Here is an 18,913-nt window from a genome sequence, read left to right on the forward strand (position 1 = left end):
TACAAAGATTAACTGGGCATGGTGGCACGCGCCTGTAGTCCCAGCTTCTCGGGAGGCTGAGGCAGGAGAATCGCTTGAACCTGGGAGGTGGAGGTTGCAGTGAGCCAGGATTCTACCACTGCACTCCAGCCTGGTGACAAAGTGAGACTCTGTCAAAAAAAAACAAAGAAAAAAAAAAGTCTCACTTTCACTGTTCTCTGGGTCTCTGAGTCCCTTCTTTGGGCTTGGACTGGTGAGTTTGTTTCTCACAACCTGGTGGCCCTTATGAGGATCTCTGTGCCTGCGTGGAGTGAGACTCCAGCCAAGAGGGGAGATGCGTTCTACCAGATTTAAGTGACCCACCCTCTCCGGGTGTCCTAGCTCCCTGCAGAAGCCTTGGCCAAACCTGAAACTTTTATTCAGGAGGCAGCAGAAGTGACACACGGAGAAAAGCAGGCACTGTGGCAACCAGGCAACCTAGTGCATGAGCCAAGGTAAGAAAAGTGGATTCTAACTACTGCCTTGGTGGTTGGGCATTTTCAGAGATCTCAGGGTGTGTAAGAAACCTCCAGTAGGGGGGGTTGAGTACACAGGGAAAAGCTCAGACACAGAGACTAACCGAAAATGGGAAACAGAAATTTTAGGCCTAAGGAACAAATGAAAGAGGTAAGTAAAAAGACCCCCTCTGACATTCTCCCAGATAGTCTGTTGGGGAGAATGTTGCAGGTTTGAAGGTATAATCCTCAAACCAGGGACAAGGAAAATCAAAAGATGATGAAGTATTGCTGTTTTATCTAACTCAGAAAGCCCATTTATCAGCCTTTGGTCTTTTGGCCTAAGTTTGGCTCAGATGAAGATTGGGTGTGTGAAGCTTTAATTCTCTATGTCAATGATAAAATTCCATTCTCACAAGAGGAGATGGGTTATGCTCTTTGTTGGTTTGTTGGATTAGTGAACTAGCCCCATATTCCCCCTTAAAGAGGAAGAAAAAGCAGAGTAAGGAGCGCTTGTCCAGTGAAAAGCCCTGGGATCCCCTAACATGGTACCCCCTCACTGCACATACATCTCACAAAGTAGAGGACAGGTAGATCAGGGGGCAACAGGAAGGCCGGAGGAAAAGGAATCTGGGGGTCATGAAGGAGCTAAACCCAGTCTTGCCTTAAATACTTATCCAAACTTGAGGAAAGAATTAAAACAATGTAAGAAGGACATTGAGAATTTCCCTCTTCCTTCTAAACAGCAGCTGTCTAACATGTACGCTCTTAGAGAAGTCCCTATGGGGCAGGGAGAAGTTGGATTTGTGAGTGTGCCTTTAACAAGTACGAAGGTTAGGAATTTTAAAAACAAAATGAGGCCACTCTTGGAAAAACCCCTCAGTTTAGCAGCTAGATCAATTTTGAGGACCCAATTTTTATACTTGGGCTGAGACAGTGTCAATCATGAATGTTCTGTTTACTGGGGGAGAGAGGGGAATGATTATAATAGGGCAGCCGTGACCATTTGAGGGAGATAGCATCTTCTGGGGCAAAGAGTCCTGCCAGCTGAGCAGAAATTCCCAAATGCAAATCCCAGTTGGGATAACAATAACCCCAGAGATCGGATCTAAATGCAAGATCTTAAGGAGCTAATAATAATTAGAGGAATTAAAGAGTCCACTCCTAGGACATAGCATGTCTCGAAAGCATTCAAGATCCAGCAAGAAAAAGATACTCCCTGTGCATTTCTGCAGAGGCCCAGGGATCAAATGAGAAAATATTCAGGATTAGATCCGGAGGACCCAGTTGGGCAAGCCCTTTAAAAGGTTTATTTTGTGATGAAAAACTGGTCATAATCGCTGCAGACAATTTTCGTTGGTTATAGATGATGATACTTATTATCCATTTCAATCATAGCTTATTCTCTTGCTGCGTTTAACTGCATTACTCCCCATGGTTTTGCTAAGATGATACAAAACTAAGTAATTTAATTAATGTCAATTCATGACTAGTTAGTTCAATCTAAACTAATTTGTTTTTTACATTCCTGACTTATGTTTGGCTGCTAAGAAATGATAGCTTAAATGCGTCTAAGATAAGAGCAGGGATTTTGTGAATAATGAATATAGAGTTTGCCAGAGTTGAGAGCATATATATTGTGAGAAACAAAATCACCCATCCAAACTGAAAGAATGGACTTAAAGAACAGTGAAAGTGAGACTTTTAATGACAGTCTTGCAAGATCGGGTGTCTGATAGGCGGGCACACCCAGCACGGTCACAACAAGCAGTTTATCCTCTAGTGCGCAGGTTTCTCTTGCATCATGAATTGCTACAGATTATTGTCTTTCAGTTTCAGTGGGGTGATTAAAGTTAGTTTTCATCTCTTAAAAATAATTTCATATTAATCACCTTGCACAGTTTCTGGTATGTAGAAAGGGAGAAATAAACATTAATATTTTATTATCATTACTTATATAATATTTAAACGATTAGCCATATAAAGCTTAGTAAGAGGGCTATGAAAAAAGTATAAAGGACAAATTATTATTATCTGTGCAAACTTCGCATAACTTTTCCATGCTATCTCTAACCTTTTTGATGAACACTTTTAGAAATTAATTGATGTAATGTGTTTGCTGCTAAGTAATGAAAGCCTCCTACTGGGTTAGGTTTTTGTTTATTTATTTTTTGACTTTTTGGCTGTTATAGGTGTCATTTAGAATTTGGTTAGCATTTACGTAAGAAATTTATATGTCACTGCTGGATATATACCCAAAGGAGAGGAAATCAGTATATCAAAGAGATAAGTAAATATTCTTAAGCAAGAATTCCTGAAATGGCTCAGTGAGGAATATCCATTTTCTGGGCATGTTGTGACTCACAGGCAGCTTGTTAAGTCCTGCCAGCTGAACAGCCAGTCTTCAAATAACCATCTTCTTTCACGGTGTGTCAGACGTTTATCTTCTTCCTACCTGGCTGACCTTGCCACATGTGTTTCACAATACACCCTTGTTTCTGTTACAGCCAAATATTTATTCACCCACCTTGACTTCCTTTTTGCTTCTTTTACTGGTCAATATCCAGCTGCCCATTGCTTTCACCTCACTTTAAGTAGTTGCAAGTAGTGTTTATCTGAATTTTTTTTTTTTTTTTCTGATTCAGATTCAACCCAAATCTGTATTTTGTGACTTTTGGACTTTGAAATTTGATTCCAGCCACCAACTTCCATGCAGTCTTTTCACAGAACTCTCTAAGAGGAATTTCTTCAAAACACATTGCTGATTTTATTTCATGACTCTTCAAGCTCTTGATTCATTCCCTTTTTTCTATTGTTACTTTTTAGACTTAATGGTTGCATTTATTTTTGTTATTAATATATCCACAGTCAGAAGGCAGGAAAACTATATCCAATTCCCAGCGAGTGGATGTTCACTGACATCAGACTAAGTCTCCTTTTAATGATTATTTATCCTATCTGAGTTTGGAGAAGTGAGAATTTAATAAAAGGAGCATGGAAGAGAGAGAGTCTATACAAGACAGTAGCCTCCTACCTGGTGAATAAAGCAATTACCTCAACTACATGTATGTTTTTCTTATATGCCACATATCCATGGGTTTATCAATACAGAGATGCTTCAAAGTCAATTTGTAGAAATAATCTGTTAGTCATGTAGATATGATAAACTAGCAGATATTTTAGTGTGGCTATTGTCCATATCAAATTTTAGTAGGAGAATATTGAGGAGTTCTGCTTCTGATGAAAAACCTATGTGTGATTTTTAGGCCTGACCAGATGCAGCTACAAAGACTTTATTTGACAGGCCTCACCAGGGAAACTGCCCTACCCACACCAGACTCGGTGCCCAGTGAAGGGTACTGCATTCTCTGAAGGGAGTTGCAGTCAAGAATACAGGCTCTCTTTGCTGGTCATAATCTTTCACATATTTGCATTTTTAGTTTGATGCTTCATCTGAGGCCATTAGCAAAGGTACTCTTCAGGTGTTTCCAGGGGTCTCTTTTTAGAGGAGAAGGGAGAAACCTTAAGGATACTTTCCCAGACTGATTCAGTAATCAGTACTTTTCCATTCCTAGCTTCAAACTCACCCCCTTCCCACCTTCCCTCTAGCCCCACTCAAATCCAAAAAACTGACAAATACTTTTGTTTGTAGATCCCTGAAGAGTGAGACAATCCCTATGTTTGCTTTCATCCTCCTGACTCTCACTCTGTGTGACATTCTATGGGGGAAAATGGAGCAGGGGAAGTGAGCATTTCTTCTGGTTTTAGACTCTTGCTTACACCATCACAGTAAGGGACTAAAGACTGAACTCTTTATTTATGGCTTGTTTCTTTGATTGGTGACTTCGACACCAGACAGCTCAGTTCTGTCTCTCCCAGCCCAGCTGAGCTCCTGACAGATACATGTGTAGAAAATAAAAATAACATCTATTTTTCTAAAATTAAATAATTAGTAATTAGTTTTTGTATTTCAAAAAATATGTCTAAATAAAGTAGCCTATATTTTGATTGAACCTTTTTAAGTCACTTATATTTTCTAAATTAAATAATTTATAATAATTTTAATTTTCAGTAACATAAAAATAATTTTGTATAAAAGAGATTCCCTTTGTTAACTAAGCTAAGCTGGTGATTTCAAAATGAAGCTAATTAAATACAATTCACAGTTGATTTAGGATTCTTAGATTGCTAATGAAAATACAGCATCTCAAGTCCAAAAATATGAAATCCAAAATGCTCCAAAATCTGAAACTTTTTGAGTGCTGACATGACTCTACAAGTGAAAACTTTCACATCTAACCTCATGTGACAGGCTGCAGTCAAAATGCAGCCAAAACTTTGTTTTATGTGCTAAATTGTCAGAAATATTTTATAAAAATTACCCTCAGACTATGTGTATAAGGTAAGTACAAATATAAATAAATTTTGTGTTTAGATTTGGGTCCTGTTCCCAAGATATATCATTCTGTATATGCAAATACTCCAAACTCAAAAATAAATAAATAAATAAATAAATAGATAGATAGATAGATAAAAACAGAAACACTTCTTGTCCTAAGTGTTTTGGATAAGAGACACTCAACCTGTATTGCTATCACAAATGAAGGAAAACAAATAAATGTACAAAAAGTTAGCTTCTCTCACAAATTTTATTTTATTTTAATAAAGCTTCAAAAATTATAAATAATGTCTAAGCAGATTTAGAATCTCAACAATAAATGCTTAGCCTTAGAGTACTGCATTTTTGTATTATAATTTGATGGCCACTTCTTGCATGGTTTCTACAAAAATTAAACAAGTTCCTCACCCATTTTTATCAAATATATTTTAAGACACAGTTTGGATGATCAAAAAGGAAGTGGTAAATTTAAATATTTAATATATAGACTCTTTAAGACATTGGTATTTATTTAAAACTTTGTTCTCAATTATTTTAATGTGATGTGGTTAGTCACATTTAAACAAAAAAAAGAGTTTTTTTCTTATTTATCAGCATGAAATATAATAGGAAAATAATATTTATATGTTAGAAATTTACACTTTTGAGCATTATTGCATAGAATTACAGAATAATGAGCTTGTCTTCTCTTCAGGAAGACAGTAGGGCAGAATCTCCTAACTTTTGGAATAATCTCTGATGGATAGTCGTGGGTTTGTGTCAGTCAGTTATAAGCCCCAGAAGGGAAATAGCTCATGATACTTTTAACAATTAATCATGTGTCTGTAATGACATTTGCACAATTAATTCTAAACAAAAAGGCAAAATAAGTGATCTTTGCATTTTCACTTGTTCAAAGTCAACATTTGTATTTTTTTTGAATTAAATACAATTCACAGTTGATTTAGGATTCTTAGATTGCTAATGAATTTAATGAAAATGGTGATTTTCAACAGAGAAAATCAATTTTCTTGAATATGACTTTTGCATCTTGTCTTTAATATCACTGTGTTTTTGTAGCCAAGACGAATGTGGTGTAGAATAGCAATCAGATTTTTGTCAGTTCTGTAGGCATAAATCCAGGGTTTAAATTTAAAACCTGAATTAAGTATACCAGATATGGATGAAGATTTACTATAAAATTCCATTATCCCTGACTCCAGGAGATTGATATATCCTTGGATATTTTTTTAAAATGCCATGCCTTTTCTTGCCATTTTTGCACTGCTTAATGACACTGCTTAATGCACTGCTTAATATTGTTTTTCTTCCCTTTTCTTTGGAACAAGCTTTCAGTATTTAATACTGGAATGCACAACTTTATGATGCATACTATAGCATTCATTTTTCATAATGTGATGAGTGATCAATTTTAAAGCACTTGCAATTCTTCTGTAATGTAATATCTAATGTATAGAAGGTTTAGTACTTGGAACTTATTAGAAGCAATGCTTTTCAGAAAATAGAGATATTTATCATCATATTATTCCTAGTCTAGTTTTTCTCTATCTTTGCTCATGTGTAGGTCTTGACATTTTAATTTAGTCCCACAGGGAAATTATCTTCTGCCATTTCCTCTCTCAAGACTTAGAGTGAGTTCAAAAGAAGCCATGGACACAGAGAAAGCTCTCCTTTGGGGAATTTGACCATAGAATAATTTGAATGAATGCTACATATTTTTAAAAAATTGTATGCAATACAACAGAATATAAGATTAAGTGTCAATGAAGAGTAACATAACAAACTCAGCAAGATGACAGGAGAAAGGGAAACATTTGTTCCTTATTTAAATAGTCTCATTATAATTTTCTGTGCTATTCAAGTTTACCAGGGACTGTTAGAACATGACTTTTGGAGTTAGGCTTTCATGAGTTCCATATCTTGCTGGATTTGCCCTTTACTTAGACTATCACACTATCACTTTGACAAGTTAGTTCAGCCTTCTTATGTTTTTATTTTTAAAAAAGGAAAGGAGGCCAGGCACGGTAGCTCACACCTGTAATCCCAGCACTTTAGGAGGCCAAGTTGGGTGGATCACGAGGTCAACAGATCAAGACCATCCTGGCCAACGTGGTGAAACCTCATCTCTACTTAAAAAAAAAAAAAAAAAAATACAAAAATTAGCTGGGCATGGTGGTGCAAGCCTGTAGTCCCAGCTACTCAGGAGGCTGAAGCAGGAGAATTGCTTGAACCCAGGAAGCAGAGGTTGTAGTGAGCTGAGATCTCACCACTGCACTCTAGCCTGGTGACAGAGAGAGACTGTCTCAAAAAAAAAGAAAAGGGAAAGGGAAGGGGAAGAAGGGGAAGGGGAAGGGGAGAGGGGAAAGGAAAGAGGAGGGGGAAGAGGAAGAAGGGGAAGGGCAGGGGGAAGGGGAAGAAGGGGAAGGGGAAGAAGGAAAAGGGGAGGGGGAGGGGAAGAAGGAGAAGGGGAGGGGGAGGGGAAGGAGGGGGAGGGGAAAGGAAAGAAGAGGAAGGGGACGGGGAACTGGAAGATAAAGGAAAAAGGAAAGGAAAGGAAAAAGGGAAGGGAAAGGAAGGGAAGGGAGGAAGGAAAGGGGTAGATTTGTTGGATGTTTTAGACACGAAAATGAGCTGGGACTGGTGTTTTCCCATATTCTCTCACCCTTCATCAAAAGCAGGAGAGGTTCAAGGCCTGAGTATTTGCCTCTGGATGGCCATTGCTGGTATATTATTAACTTCTCTTGAGGTCAAGACAATACAAAACTCAGGTCTTCTCTGCCAGGGATCCTGTCTAGGAAATACTGAGTGTTTGGGGGTAGTTTCAAAGATTTTCTAAATAGATAGTAAGTGCTGAGAGTATTTTACTTACAACTTTTGGGTGAAAGTTTTTTTTATTATTGTACTAATAAGTAAATTTCTACTAAATTTGTAACTAATTATTTCATGTATCCAAATAAGCACATTTTAAAACAAACTACTTAATATTTAAAACTAAAAATATGCCATAAAATTTCAAGTCCTTTTCTCTTCAAGACAATAAAGCTACAATATTCTTTTAAAAATTGCTACACGGATTGTGAAAAGAGCCTAACATATTGCTTGTCACATAGCATGCTCAATCAATGTTATTCCCACATTCCTCTTAGCAGGTCCTGTTCTTCATCTATAGTGAATTGCTTTTGATTTCAAGGTCTTAGAAAAAAGCTTTTTCCTAAGAAAGTAAATTATGTTATTGTCAAACTACTTTTATAAAAATGATATGTTGGATTCAGTGGATAACTTTACGGATTGGTTTTCTAAATATGCATGAAAATGCTAGATTTTTATTTTCTGAATCATTGCTGTGTTGATGATTGTTTGCCCACTTTATTACTTCACTGAAAAACAAATGGGATCAAAAAAAATGTTGCTACTCTTCTCTTTGGAAGCCTCGAGTCATTCTGGATCATATAGTATATTCTGTATTCTGATTGATGTTTTAACAATGTAGTGTTGCTATATTAATACTATATTCTTTAAATTGTAATATTTGTTATAATATTTTTGTTTACTTTGAAACTACAGAGTCTACACTTTTTATCAATATAACATTTTGTGAATTATAACAAAAATATATAAATATTGTTTACTAAAGAAAACATAGTCAAGCTTTGGAAGGATTAAAGTTAGTGTTATTCAGAAGTCTTACTGAAGACTATAGACTGAAGCCTGTAGCTGTAGGGCAGTTCTGCCAGACTGCTCCTGCTTAGTGTTTCAGCCACTGCTTATATACAAGTGGTGGGGGTTCAGTATGTGCAAAATCACATCAGACTTGCTCAGGAGTTACATTAAAGCAGAATCACATCAAGCTTTGGGTGTAAGGGTACATTTGGTTATAGATTACAGAAGCATAATCACTACCCCTGTCAGAAGTTATCTTATATGCAGGGAAAGGCAAGGACTAGGGTCCTTTATCTTTTAAGAAAAATATAGTAGCTCAGACAAGAGACACTGAGGGCTCTGCACGCTATCCTGTTTTATTTCCAAAGCCTCCCTTGAGAGAGCTGCAGATGGTAACAAAGTCAGGGGTTTGTGAAATTTTGCTAGCAAGCAGAAATGAGCAAACGTGGTTTGTAACATTTGCTACTTTGTCTCACAATATATTCATGAACTTCACTTGTGATTAAGAATAAAACTGCATTTTAATATAAAATTTACATGCATTAAAGTAAAAGATTGCTGGTTGTAGATAACCTAGTTTTACTGGCACTAATGTCAACATTTGCAGTAATACTATTGTATTAGTCTGTTTTCATGCTGCTGATAAAGACATACCCAAGATTGGGCAATTTACAAAATTGTACCCTAAAACTTAAAGTATAATAATAATTTAAAAAAAGAAAATAAACAATAGTGAAATAAGAGCAAAAAATAAAAAAATAAAGAGGTTTAATGGACTCACAGTTCGATGTGGCTGGGAAGGCCTCACAATTATGGCAGAAGGTGAAAGGCATGTCTGGGAAGGCCTCACAATTATGGCAGAAGGTGAAAGGCATGTCTCACATGGTGGCAGAGAAGAGAAGAGAGCTTGTGCAGGGAAACTCCCCCTTGTAAAACCATCAGATCTCGTGAGACTTATCCACTATCATGAGAACAACATGGGAAAGGCCTGCCCCCATGATTCAATTACCTCCCACCAGGTCCTTCCCACAACAAGTGGGAATTCAATATGAGATTTGGGTTTGGACATAGCCAAACCGTATCAACTATGAATTAAGTTTTTAAGTTTTAAGTAGCGATGTGCTGCGAATGTCTAAGAACTGGCCTCAGGGAGGGAATCTGGTTTGAAGAATTTGCAGGCCTCCATAGTATAAGTAACTACCTCATCACCATATTCAAACTATCGATAGTTTAAAAATCTGCTTGAAAAAAATCCTGAAAATTAAAAAATAAAATGGCTCTTGTGAACCAATGTCTTCGGCCAGTCTTAGCACTATATTGGGATTAAGTAAATATCAACTGTGACATACAGGCATGACTTTTTTTTTTTTTCATTGTGCCTTGCTTTTGTGCACTTCACAACATTACAATTTTTACAAATTGAAGGTTTGTGGAACCTTACATCTAGCAAGCTTATCAGCTCGGTTTTTTTCAACAGCATGTGCTTGCTTCATGACTCTCTGTTACATGGTAATTCTCACAATATTTAAATTTGTTAATTATTATCATATCTGTTATGACGATCTGTGATTATTCATCTTCCTTTTTCTGCATCAAAAATTTTAATAAAGAATAATATGCTTCTGAGGGAAAACAGCTAAGCTCATTGGTCTGTAGTCCTTTGAATAAAGCAATATGATACTTGTGGTAGTATCCAGACTGTGGAGCCCACCCTGTCTTCCATACGGTTCGGAGGCCTTCCACTTGGAGACAAAAATAAGTCTTGCTCTTATTTTAGGAGGGATATATCCACTGAGATGAGAGGTCAAGCTAGGTTTTTAATGAAATTTATTTTTTGCTTTTATTATTTTTTAATTGACACATACTACATTCATTCTGCATGAATACATTCTGCATATGTATGGGGTAAAGTGTGATATTTTGATACGTGTATACAATTTGTATAATCAGGGTAATTAGCATATCTATCACCTCTGACATTTATTATTTTTGTGTGAAGAACATTCAGAATCCATTCTTCTAGCTATTACTCTGAGCTTCATTTTCTTCTTGTCAGAATATGTACAACAGCATGCCTAGAAAGACTTTGTTTCATTGCAAATGTTTTGCCACAGCCAACATGTTCACATGCAAAATGGCACCTTTTTTCTCATGGAAAGGATATGGATTTGTAGAGTAAACACAGTTGTGTAGGTTCTTCCAGAGACTTCTCTTGTATGTCAAAAATATCCCTTTCTGGGGCATGAGTGTTCATATGTTGCTTAAGATAATGTTTAAATGTTTTCTGGCCTGCTTCATATGTTGTTTCCTTTTTATAAGTTTCTCTCACATGTTTCAAAACTTCTGTTCATGCTTTCACCACAAAAGAACACGCTTTTTGACATATAGAGCCCGCATGGGCCTTGCCGCTTGCTGGATGGATGGGGAAAAATGCTTCCCACATCTTTCCTGGGTACAGTTGAATAGTGGTTCATTGGTATGCTGGCAGTGATGGTTTTTCAGCTGCTGATGTTCGTAAAGGTCTTCTTCCAACCTCCAAAATTGCATATGTATATTTTTTTTTTTGCTGGTTTTCATGTTTGCCTGTAAAATGTCTCTTCAAGTTTGATTTTGTGTTGAATTTTTAGATCACAGCTACTAGCTGCACAAACATATGGCTTGTCTGCAGTATGATCAGGACATGACAACTCAGATGTTAGTCTCTTGAGGTGGGTCTTGCCACACCCTTCACAGTCATAAACAAATGGTTTCTTCCCCATGTGATTACAGGTGCACATTAAGCTTCCAGGCCTTTTTGTAAGTGGTGCCACACTGGGGAAGTAGCAGATGACCCTCCTAAGAAGTGTGTGAAGGGGGAACAAGGGAAGGGAGAAGCAGTCGCGGGGCTAGACTCTCACAGCCTCCTTGAATACATCAGTGATGTATCCTGGAGACCAGAGATCAAAGTCAATGGCTTCAGGGTGCTCAGGCCTGTGTTTCTTGGCCCAGGCGTTTCCATACTAAGCCACATACTATAAATTGGCCACTGGCCAGTGATTTTTGATGTTACTGTTGTAATTGTTCTGAAGTGCCACAAAAAGCTCCCATATAGGATGATGAATTTAATTCATTCACTTTGTGTGTGTCCTAAGTGCACCATTTACCAGTCATTCCCCCTTCTCTCTTCCTTACCTCAGGACTCCTTATCCCTTGCAACATAACAATATTTTAATTAGGCTAATTAATAACCTTACAATGGTCTCTAAGTGTTCAAGTGAAAGAAAGAGTTACACATATTTCACTGTAAATCAAAAGCTACTAGTGATTCAGTTTAGTGAGGAAAGCACATTGAAAGAAGAGATAGACTGAAAGCTAGGCCTCTTGCACCAAACAACCAAGTAGTGAATGCAAAGAGAAAGTTTGTGAAGAAAACAAAAATTCCTATTCCAGTGAACACACAAATAATAAGAAAGTTGAAATAGATTTATTGCTGATATAAATAAAATTTTAGCAGATTGGATAAAAGATAAAACCAGCCACAAGATTTCCTTAAGCCAAAGCTTAATCCAGAGCAAGGCCCTAATGCTCTTAAATTCTATGAAGGCTGAGAAAGGGAAGGAAACTACAGAAGGAAAATGTGAAGCTCACAGAGGTGGCTTTATGAAGTTTAAGGATAAAAGCCACCCCCATAACATAAAAGTGAAAGGTGAAGCATCAAGTGCCAAATAATATAGAACCTGCAGCAAGTTATTCCGAAGATCTAGGTAAGATCATGGATGGAAGTGGCTGCACTAAACAGCTTTTCAGTGTAGGCAAAACAGCCTCCTATTGGAAGAAGATGCCATCTGGGATTTTCATAACTTGAGAGAAGCTAATGCCTGGCTTCAAAGTTTTAAAGGACAGGTGGACTCTCTTGTAAGGGATTAATGTAACTGTGAACTTCAAAGCCAATGCTCATTTACAATTCTGAAAATCGTAGAGCCTTTAAGAATTATGCTAAGTCTACCTTGCCTATGTGCTATAAATGGAACAGCAAAGCCTGGATGACCTTACATCTGTTTAAAGCATGGTTTACTGACTACTTCAAGTTCATTGTTAAGACTTACTGATCAGAAAAAAAGGTCCATTTCAAAATATTACTGCACACTGGCAATGCACCTAGAAACTCAAGAGCTCTGATAGAGTTGTACAAGGAAATTAATATTACTGTCATGCCTGCTAACACATCCTGCATCTGGTGGATCAAGGAGTAATTTTGACTTTTAAGTCTTACTCATCAAGAAATATATTTTGTCAGGCTGCCATAGACAGTAATTCCTCTTATGGGTCTGTGTAAAGTAAAGTGGAAACCTCCTGAAAATGATTTACCATTCTAGATTTCCATTAACAATATTTGTGATTCATGGGAGGAGGTCAAAATGTGAACTTTGAATGAGGAGTCCGAGCAAAATGGCCAAATAGAAGCTTTCACTGATCATCCTCCCCGCAGGAACATCATACTTGACAACTATCTACACAAAAAGCACTTTCATAAGAATCTAACAGCATGTAAGCAATCACATACCCGGTTTTGACTTCTTATTGCTGAAAAAAGCACTGAAGAAGGTAGAAAAGACATTCTTGAATTGCTGAAAACACCCCTTACCCATCCCCCAGCTGCGGCTGCATGGCGTTGAGAGAGAATTTGTGCGCTTTGGGTGAGGGAGAGCACAGTGATCGGGGGACTTTGTATTGAAACTGAATGCTGCCAGCCCTGGGAAGAACTCAGCTGGTGCCTACGAAGGGTGCATTTAGACCAGCCCTAGCCAGCGGGGAAGTGCCCTTACCAACAGTTGAAAGCTAAATTTCTTTAAGCCTCACCACCTCAGGCTAAAGTAATCTGGGGTTCTAAATAAACCTAAAAGGCTGTCTAGGCAACAGAGACTGCTTATGTCACTCCTCCCTGAGCTCCAGGAAGCTCAGCAGAGAGAGATACTCCATTTGTTTGGGAGAAAGTAAGTGAAGAGAGCAAGAGTTTCTGAATAGTAACCCAGAAAAATTTTCCAGACCATATCCAAGACCACCAAAAAGTCTGAAAGAACTACAGTTTCACTGGGCTTGGGGTGGCCCCTAATATTGATATGGCTGCAGTGACCAAAACCTTATATCACAACACCCAATTCCCTTTAAATACCTGGAAAGCCTTCCCAAGCAAGATGATTAAAAATAAAAGCAGAGTGCAAAGACTACAAGGAATTCCTAAGTCTTCAATGCTCAGACACTGTTGTATATCCACAAGCATGACCATCCAGGATAATATTGCCTGAGGAAATGAACTAAATAAGGCACCAGGGGACAATCCTGGAGAGACAGAGATATATATGACCTTTCAGATGGGAAAATAAAAATATCTTTGTTGCAGAAACTCAAAGAAATTCAAGATAACACAGAGAAGAAATTTAGATTCCTATCAGATAAATTTAACAAAAAATTGAAGTAATTAAAATGAATCAAGCAGAAATTCTCAAGTTCAAAAATGCAATGGCCCTTCTAAGGAATGTATCAGAGTTTCTTAATAGCAGAATTGAACAAACAGAAGAATGAATTAGTGAGCTTGAAGACTGGCTATGAAAATACACAGTCAGAGGAGACAAAATAACAAAATAATAGAAAGCAATGAAGCATGCCCACAATATCTAAGGAAATAGGTCCAAAAGGGCAGATCTAACGATTATTGGCCTTAAAGAGAAGGTAAAAAGAGAGACAGTGGTAGAAAGTTTATTCAAAGGGATAATAACAGCTTTCCAAAACTAGACAAAGATATCAATATTCAAGTAAAATATACAAGACTATCTCAAGATATTTAATAATTAAACTCCCAAAGGTCAAGGATAAACAAAGATTTCTAATAGCAGCAAGAGAAAAAAGAAACAAATAATAAACAATGGATGTCCATTATGTCTGGCAGGAGATTTCTCAGTGAAAACCTTACAGGCCAGGAGAGAGTGGAATGATATATATTTAAAGCACTGAAGGAGAAAAAACTTTTACCCCAGAACAATATATTCAGTGAAAATATCTTTCAAACATGGAGGAGAAGCAAGACTTTCTAGACAAACAAAAGCTGAGGGCTTTTGTCAACACCAAACATGTCCTACAAGAAATGCTGAAGGGAGTTTTGAGAAATTCATGAAAATTAATTCAGAAAGAAAAAAGAACAGTAATGAGCAATCAGAAATCACCTGAAGGCACCAAACTCAATGGTAATAGTAAGTACACAAAAAACAGGCTAGGTTAGGCACAGTGGCTCATGCCTGTAGTTCCAGCAGTTTAGAAGGCTGAGGTGGGTGGATCACTTGAGGTCAGGAGTTTGAGACCATCCTGGCCAACATGGTGAAAACCCATCTCTACCAAAAACACAAAAATTAGCCTGATGCGGTGGTGAGTGCCTATAACCCCAGATACCCGGGAGGCTGAGGCAGGATAAATGCTTGAACCTGGGAGGCAGAGGTTGCACTACTGCACTCCAGCCTTGGCAACAGAGTGAGACTCTGTCTCAAAAACTAATAAATAAATAAACAAACAACTCCCCCCCACCCCAGAACCCACACTATTATAACACTGTAATTGTGGTATGTAAACTACTCATATCTTCAGCAAAAAATGAAAAAAATAACTGATCCAAAGTAATAACTGCAAAAACTTTTGAAGACATAGACAGAACACTAAGATAGAAATAGAAGCCACAAAAATTTAAAAAGCAAGGAGACGAAGTTAAAGAATAGAATTTTTATTAGTTTTCTTTTTGCTTGTTTATTAGTATGTTTGTTTATGAAATCAGTATTGTTCCCATCAGGTTAAAATAATGGGTTATAAGATATTATTTACAAGCCTCATAGTAAACTCAAATTTAAAAACTGCAATGGATACCCAGAAAATAAAAGCAAGAAATTAAAATATACCAAGAGAAAAAATTTACCTTCACTAAAAGAAAGAGAAGAAGGAAAGAATGAAGGAAGGAAGGAAGAGGAGACCACAAAAAAGACATAAAACATAATCAAAATGGTAGAAGTAAGTTCTTACTTATCAATAGTAACAGTGAATGTATAATAAATAGACCAAACTGTTCATTCAAAAGATATAGATTGTGGCTAAATGGTTAAAAATAAGATCCAAAAACCTGTTGCCTACAAGAAATATCCATCACTTATAAAACACACATAGACTAAAAATAAAGAGATGGAAAAAGATATTCCATGTAAATGGAAGCAAAAAAAGAGCAGGAGTTGCTATGCTTACATCAGACAAAATATATTTCAAGAGAAAAACTATAAAAAGAGACAAAGACTGTCATTATGTAATGATAAAGGGGTCAATTCAGCAAGAGGATATAATAATTGTAAATGTATACACATACTCAACACTGAAACACCCAGCTATGCAAAGTAAATATTCTTAGGGCTAAAGAGATATACCCATATACAATAATCACCAGAGACTTCAAAACCCCACTTTCGGCATTGTACAGATCATCCAGACAGAAAATAATCAAGAAAACACTGGACTTAATCTACTCTAGAGACCAAATGGAATGAATATATATTTATAGAACATTTCATTCCGTGGCTGAAGAATACACATTCTTCTCTAGAGCACATGGGTCATTGAAGGATAGACTATATGTTAGGCCACAAAATATGTCTTAAAACACTTTAAAAAGTTGAAATCATTTCAAGTACCTTCTCTGACTATAATGAAATACAACTAAAAATCAACAAGAAGAATACTTTCTGAAAGTATCCAAATACATGAAAATTGAACAGTATGCTTCTGGATGACCAGTGGGTCAACAAAGAGATTAAGAAAGAAATTGAAAACTTTCTTGAAACAAATGATAATGGAAACCAAACATACCAAAACCTATGGGATACAGCAAAAGCAGTAACAAGAGGAAAGTGTAAAGCCATAGGTGCCTATATCAAAAAATAATAACAACTTCAAAAAACAACCTAATGATGCATCTTAAAGAATTAGAAAAGCAAGAGCAAACCAAACCCAACGTTAGTAGAAACACATCAGAGTAGAAATAAATAATATTGAAACAAAGAAAATAGTACAAAAGATAAAGGAAATGAAAAGGTTTTTTGAAAAGATATCAAAAATTGAAAAACTCTTAGCCAGACAAAAAAAAAAGAGAGAGAAGACCCAAATAAATACCATCAGATGAAAAAGGAAACATTGCAACTGATACAACAGAAATTCGAAGGATCATCAGTGGCTACTATAAACAACTATATGCCAATACATTGGAAAATCTAGAAGAGATGGATAAATGCCTAGACACATACAACCTACTAAGATTGAACCATGAAGATATCCAGAATATGAATAGATTAATAATGATGAGATTGAAGCTGCAATAAAAAATTCCCCTAGCAATGAAAATCCTGGGAGCTGATGGCCTCACTGCTGAATTTTACCAAACATTCGAAGAAGAACTAATGCCAATCCTACTCAAACTATACCCACCCCCCCAAAAAAAGAGAGATAGAGAGAACACTCCCAAACTCATTCTATAAGGCCAGTATTATTACCCTGATACCAAAACCAGTCAAAGACACATCATCTTCATCAAAAACAACACCACCACCCACCTAAACTCACAGGCCATTATCTCTGATTAACACTGATGCAAAAATGCAAAATTATCAACAACATACTAGCAAATTGAATCAACAATACATTAAAAATTAATTCATCATGAGAAAATTATATTCTTGAGATACAAAGATGGTTCAACATACACAAATCCATCAGTGTGATACATTATATCAACAGAATGAAAGATAAAAATCATATGATAATTTCAATTGATGTTAAAACAGAATTTGATAAAATTCAACACTGCTTAATGATAAAAATCCTCAGGAACATATCTCAGCTGGGCGTGGTGGCTCACGCCTGTAATCCCATCACTTTGGGAGGCTGAGGCGGGCAGATCATAAGGTCAAGAGATTGAGACCATCCTGGCCAACATGGTGAAACCTCTTCTCTACTAAAAACACAAAAAGCCCACAAATATTCGCCGGGCGTGGTGGTGCATGCCTGTAGTCCCAGCTACTCAGGAGGCTGAGGCAGGAGAATCACTTGAACCTGGGAGGCGGAGGTTGCAGTGAGCCCAGATCAAGCCACTGCACTCCAGCCTGGTGACAGAGAAAGACTTCATCTCAAAAAAAAAAAAAAAAAAAAAAGGAACATATCTCAACATAATAAAACCCATATACGACAGACCCATAGCTAGTATTAGGCTGAATGGAGAAACAATGAAAGTCTTTCCTGTGAGATCCGGAACACAACAAGGATGCCCACTTTCACCACTATCATTCAACATAGTATGGAAGTCCTAGTTGGAGTACTCAGATAACGAATAAAGGGCATCAAAATAGGAAGGGAAGTCAAATTATCCTTGTTTACAGATTATATGATCTTATATTTTGAAAACCCTAAAATCTCCACCAAAAACTCCTAGAATTGATAAACAAGTTTAGTAAAGGTGCAGGATAAAAAATCAACATACAAAATCAGTAATATTTTTGTATGTCGAAAGCGAACAATCTGAAAAGAAATCAAGAAAGTAATGCCATTTACAATAGCACAAATAAAATTAAATACCTAGGAATAAACTTACCAAAGAAGTGAAAGATCTCTACAATGAAAACTATAAAACATTCATGAAAGAAATTGAAGAAAACATAAAAAAGGGAAAAATAATGGTTATGAATTGGAAGAATCAATACTTTTAAAATGCCTGTACCACCCAAAACAATCTACAGATTGAATGAAATGCCTGTAAAAATTCCAAAGATATCCTTCACAGAAATAGAAAAAAATATCTTAAATTTTATATGGAGCCACAAAAGATCCAGAATAGCTTAAGCTATCCCCAGTCAAAGAAAAATCCTGGTGGAATCACACTACCTGACTTCAAATTATATTAATATTATGGAGTATACTAACTGAAGCAACATAGTATTGGCATAAAAGCAGACACACAGATCAATGGAAGAGAACAGTGAACCCAGAAACAAATCCATACATCTATATTACACTAATATTTGACAAAGCAACCAAAAACGTAAATTGTGGAAAGGATAGTCTCTTCAATAAATGGTGCTGGGGAAACCAGATGTCCATATGCAGCAGAATAAAACTAGATCCCATATCTCTTACCATACACAAAAATAAAATCAAAATGGATTAAAGTCTTAAAGCTAAGCCCCCAAACCATGAAACTACCCCCCCCACACACACACAAATTGGGGAATCTCTCCAGGAAATTGGATGAGGGAAAGATTTCTTGAGTAATACTCCACAAGCACAAGCAATCAAAGCAAAAATGGACAAATGGAGTCACATCCAATTA

General features: G+C 36.7%; 1 pseudogene; it reads right to left on the minus strand.

Annotated features, from left to right (window-relative positions):
• GTF3AP6 (general transcription factor IIIA pseudogene 6) lies at positions 10,538 to 11,379 on the minus strand (annotated as a pseudogene).

Source organism: Homo sapiens, chromosome 7, assembly GCF_000001405.40.
Source record: "Homo sapiens chromosome 7, GRCh38.p14 Primary Assembly".
Classification (NCBI taxonomy): domain Eukaryota; kingdom Metazoa; phylum Chordata; class Mammalia; order Primates; family Hominidae; genus Homo; species Homo sapiens.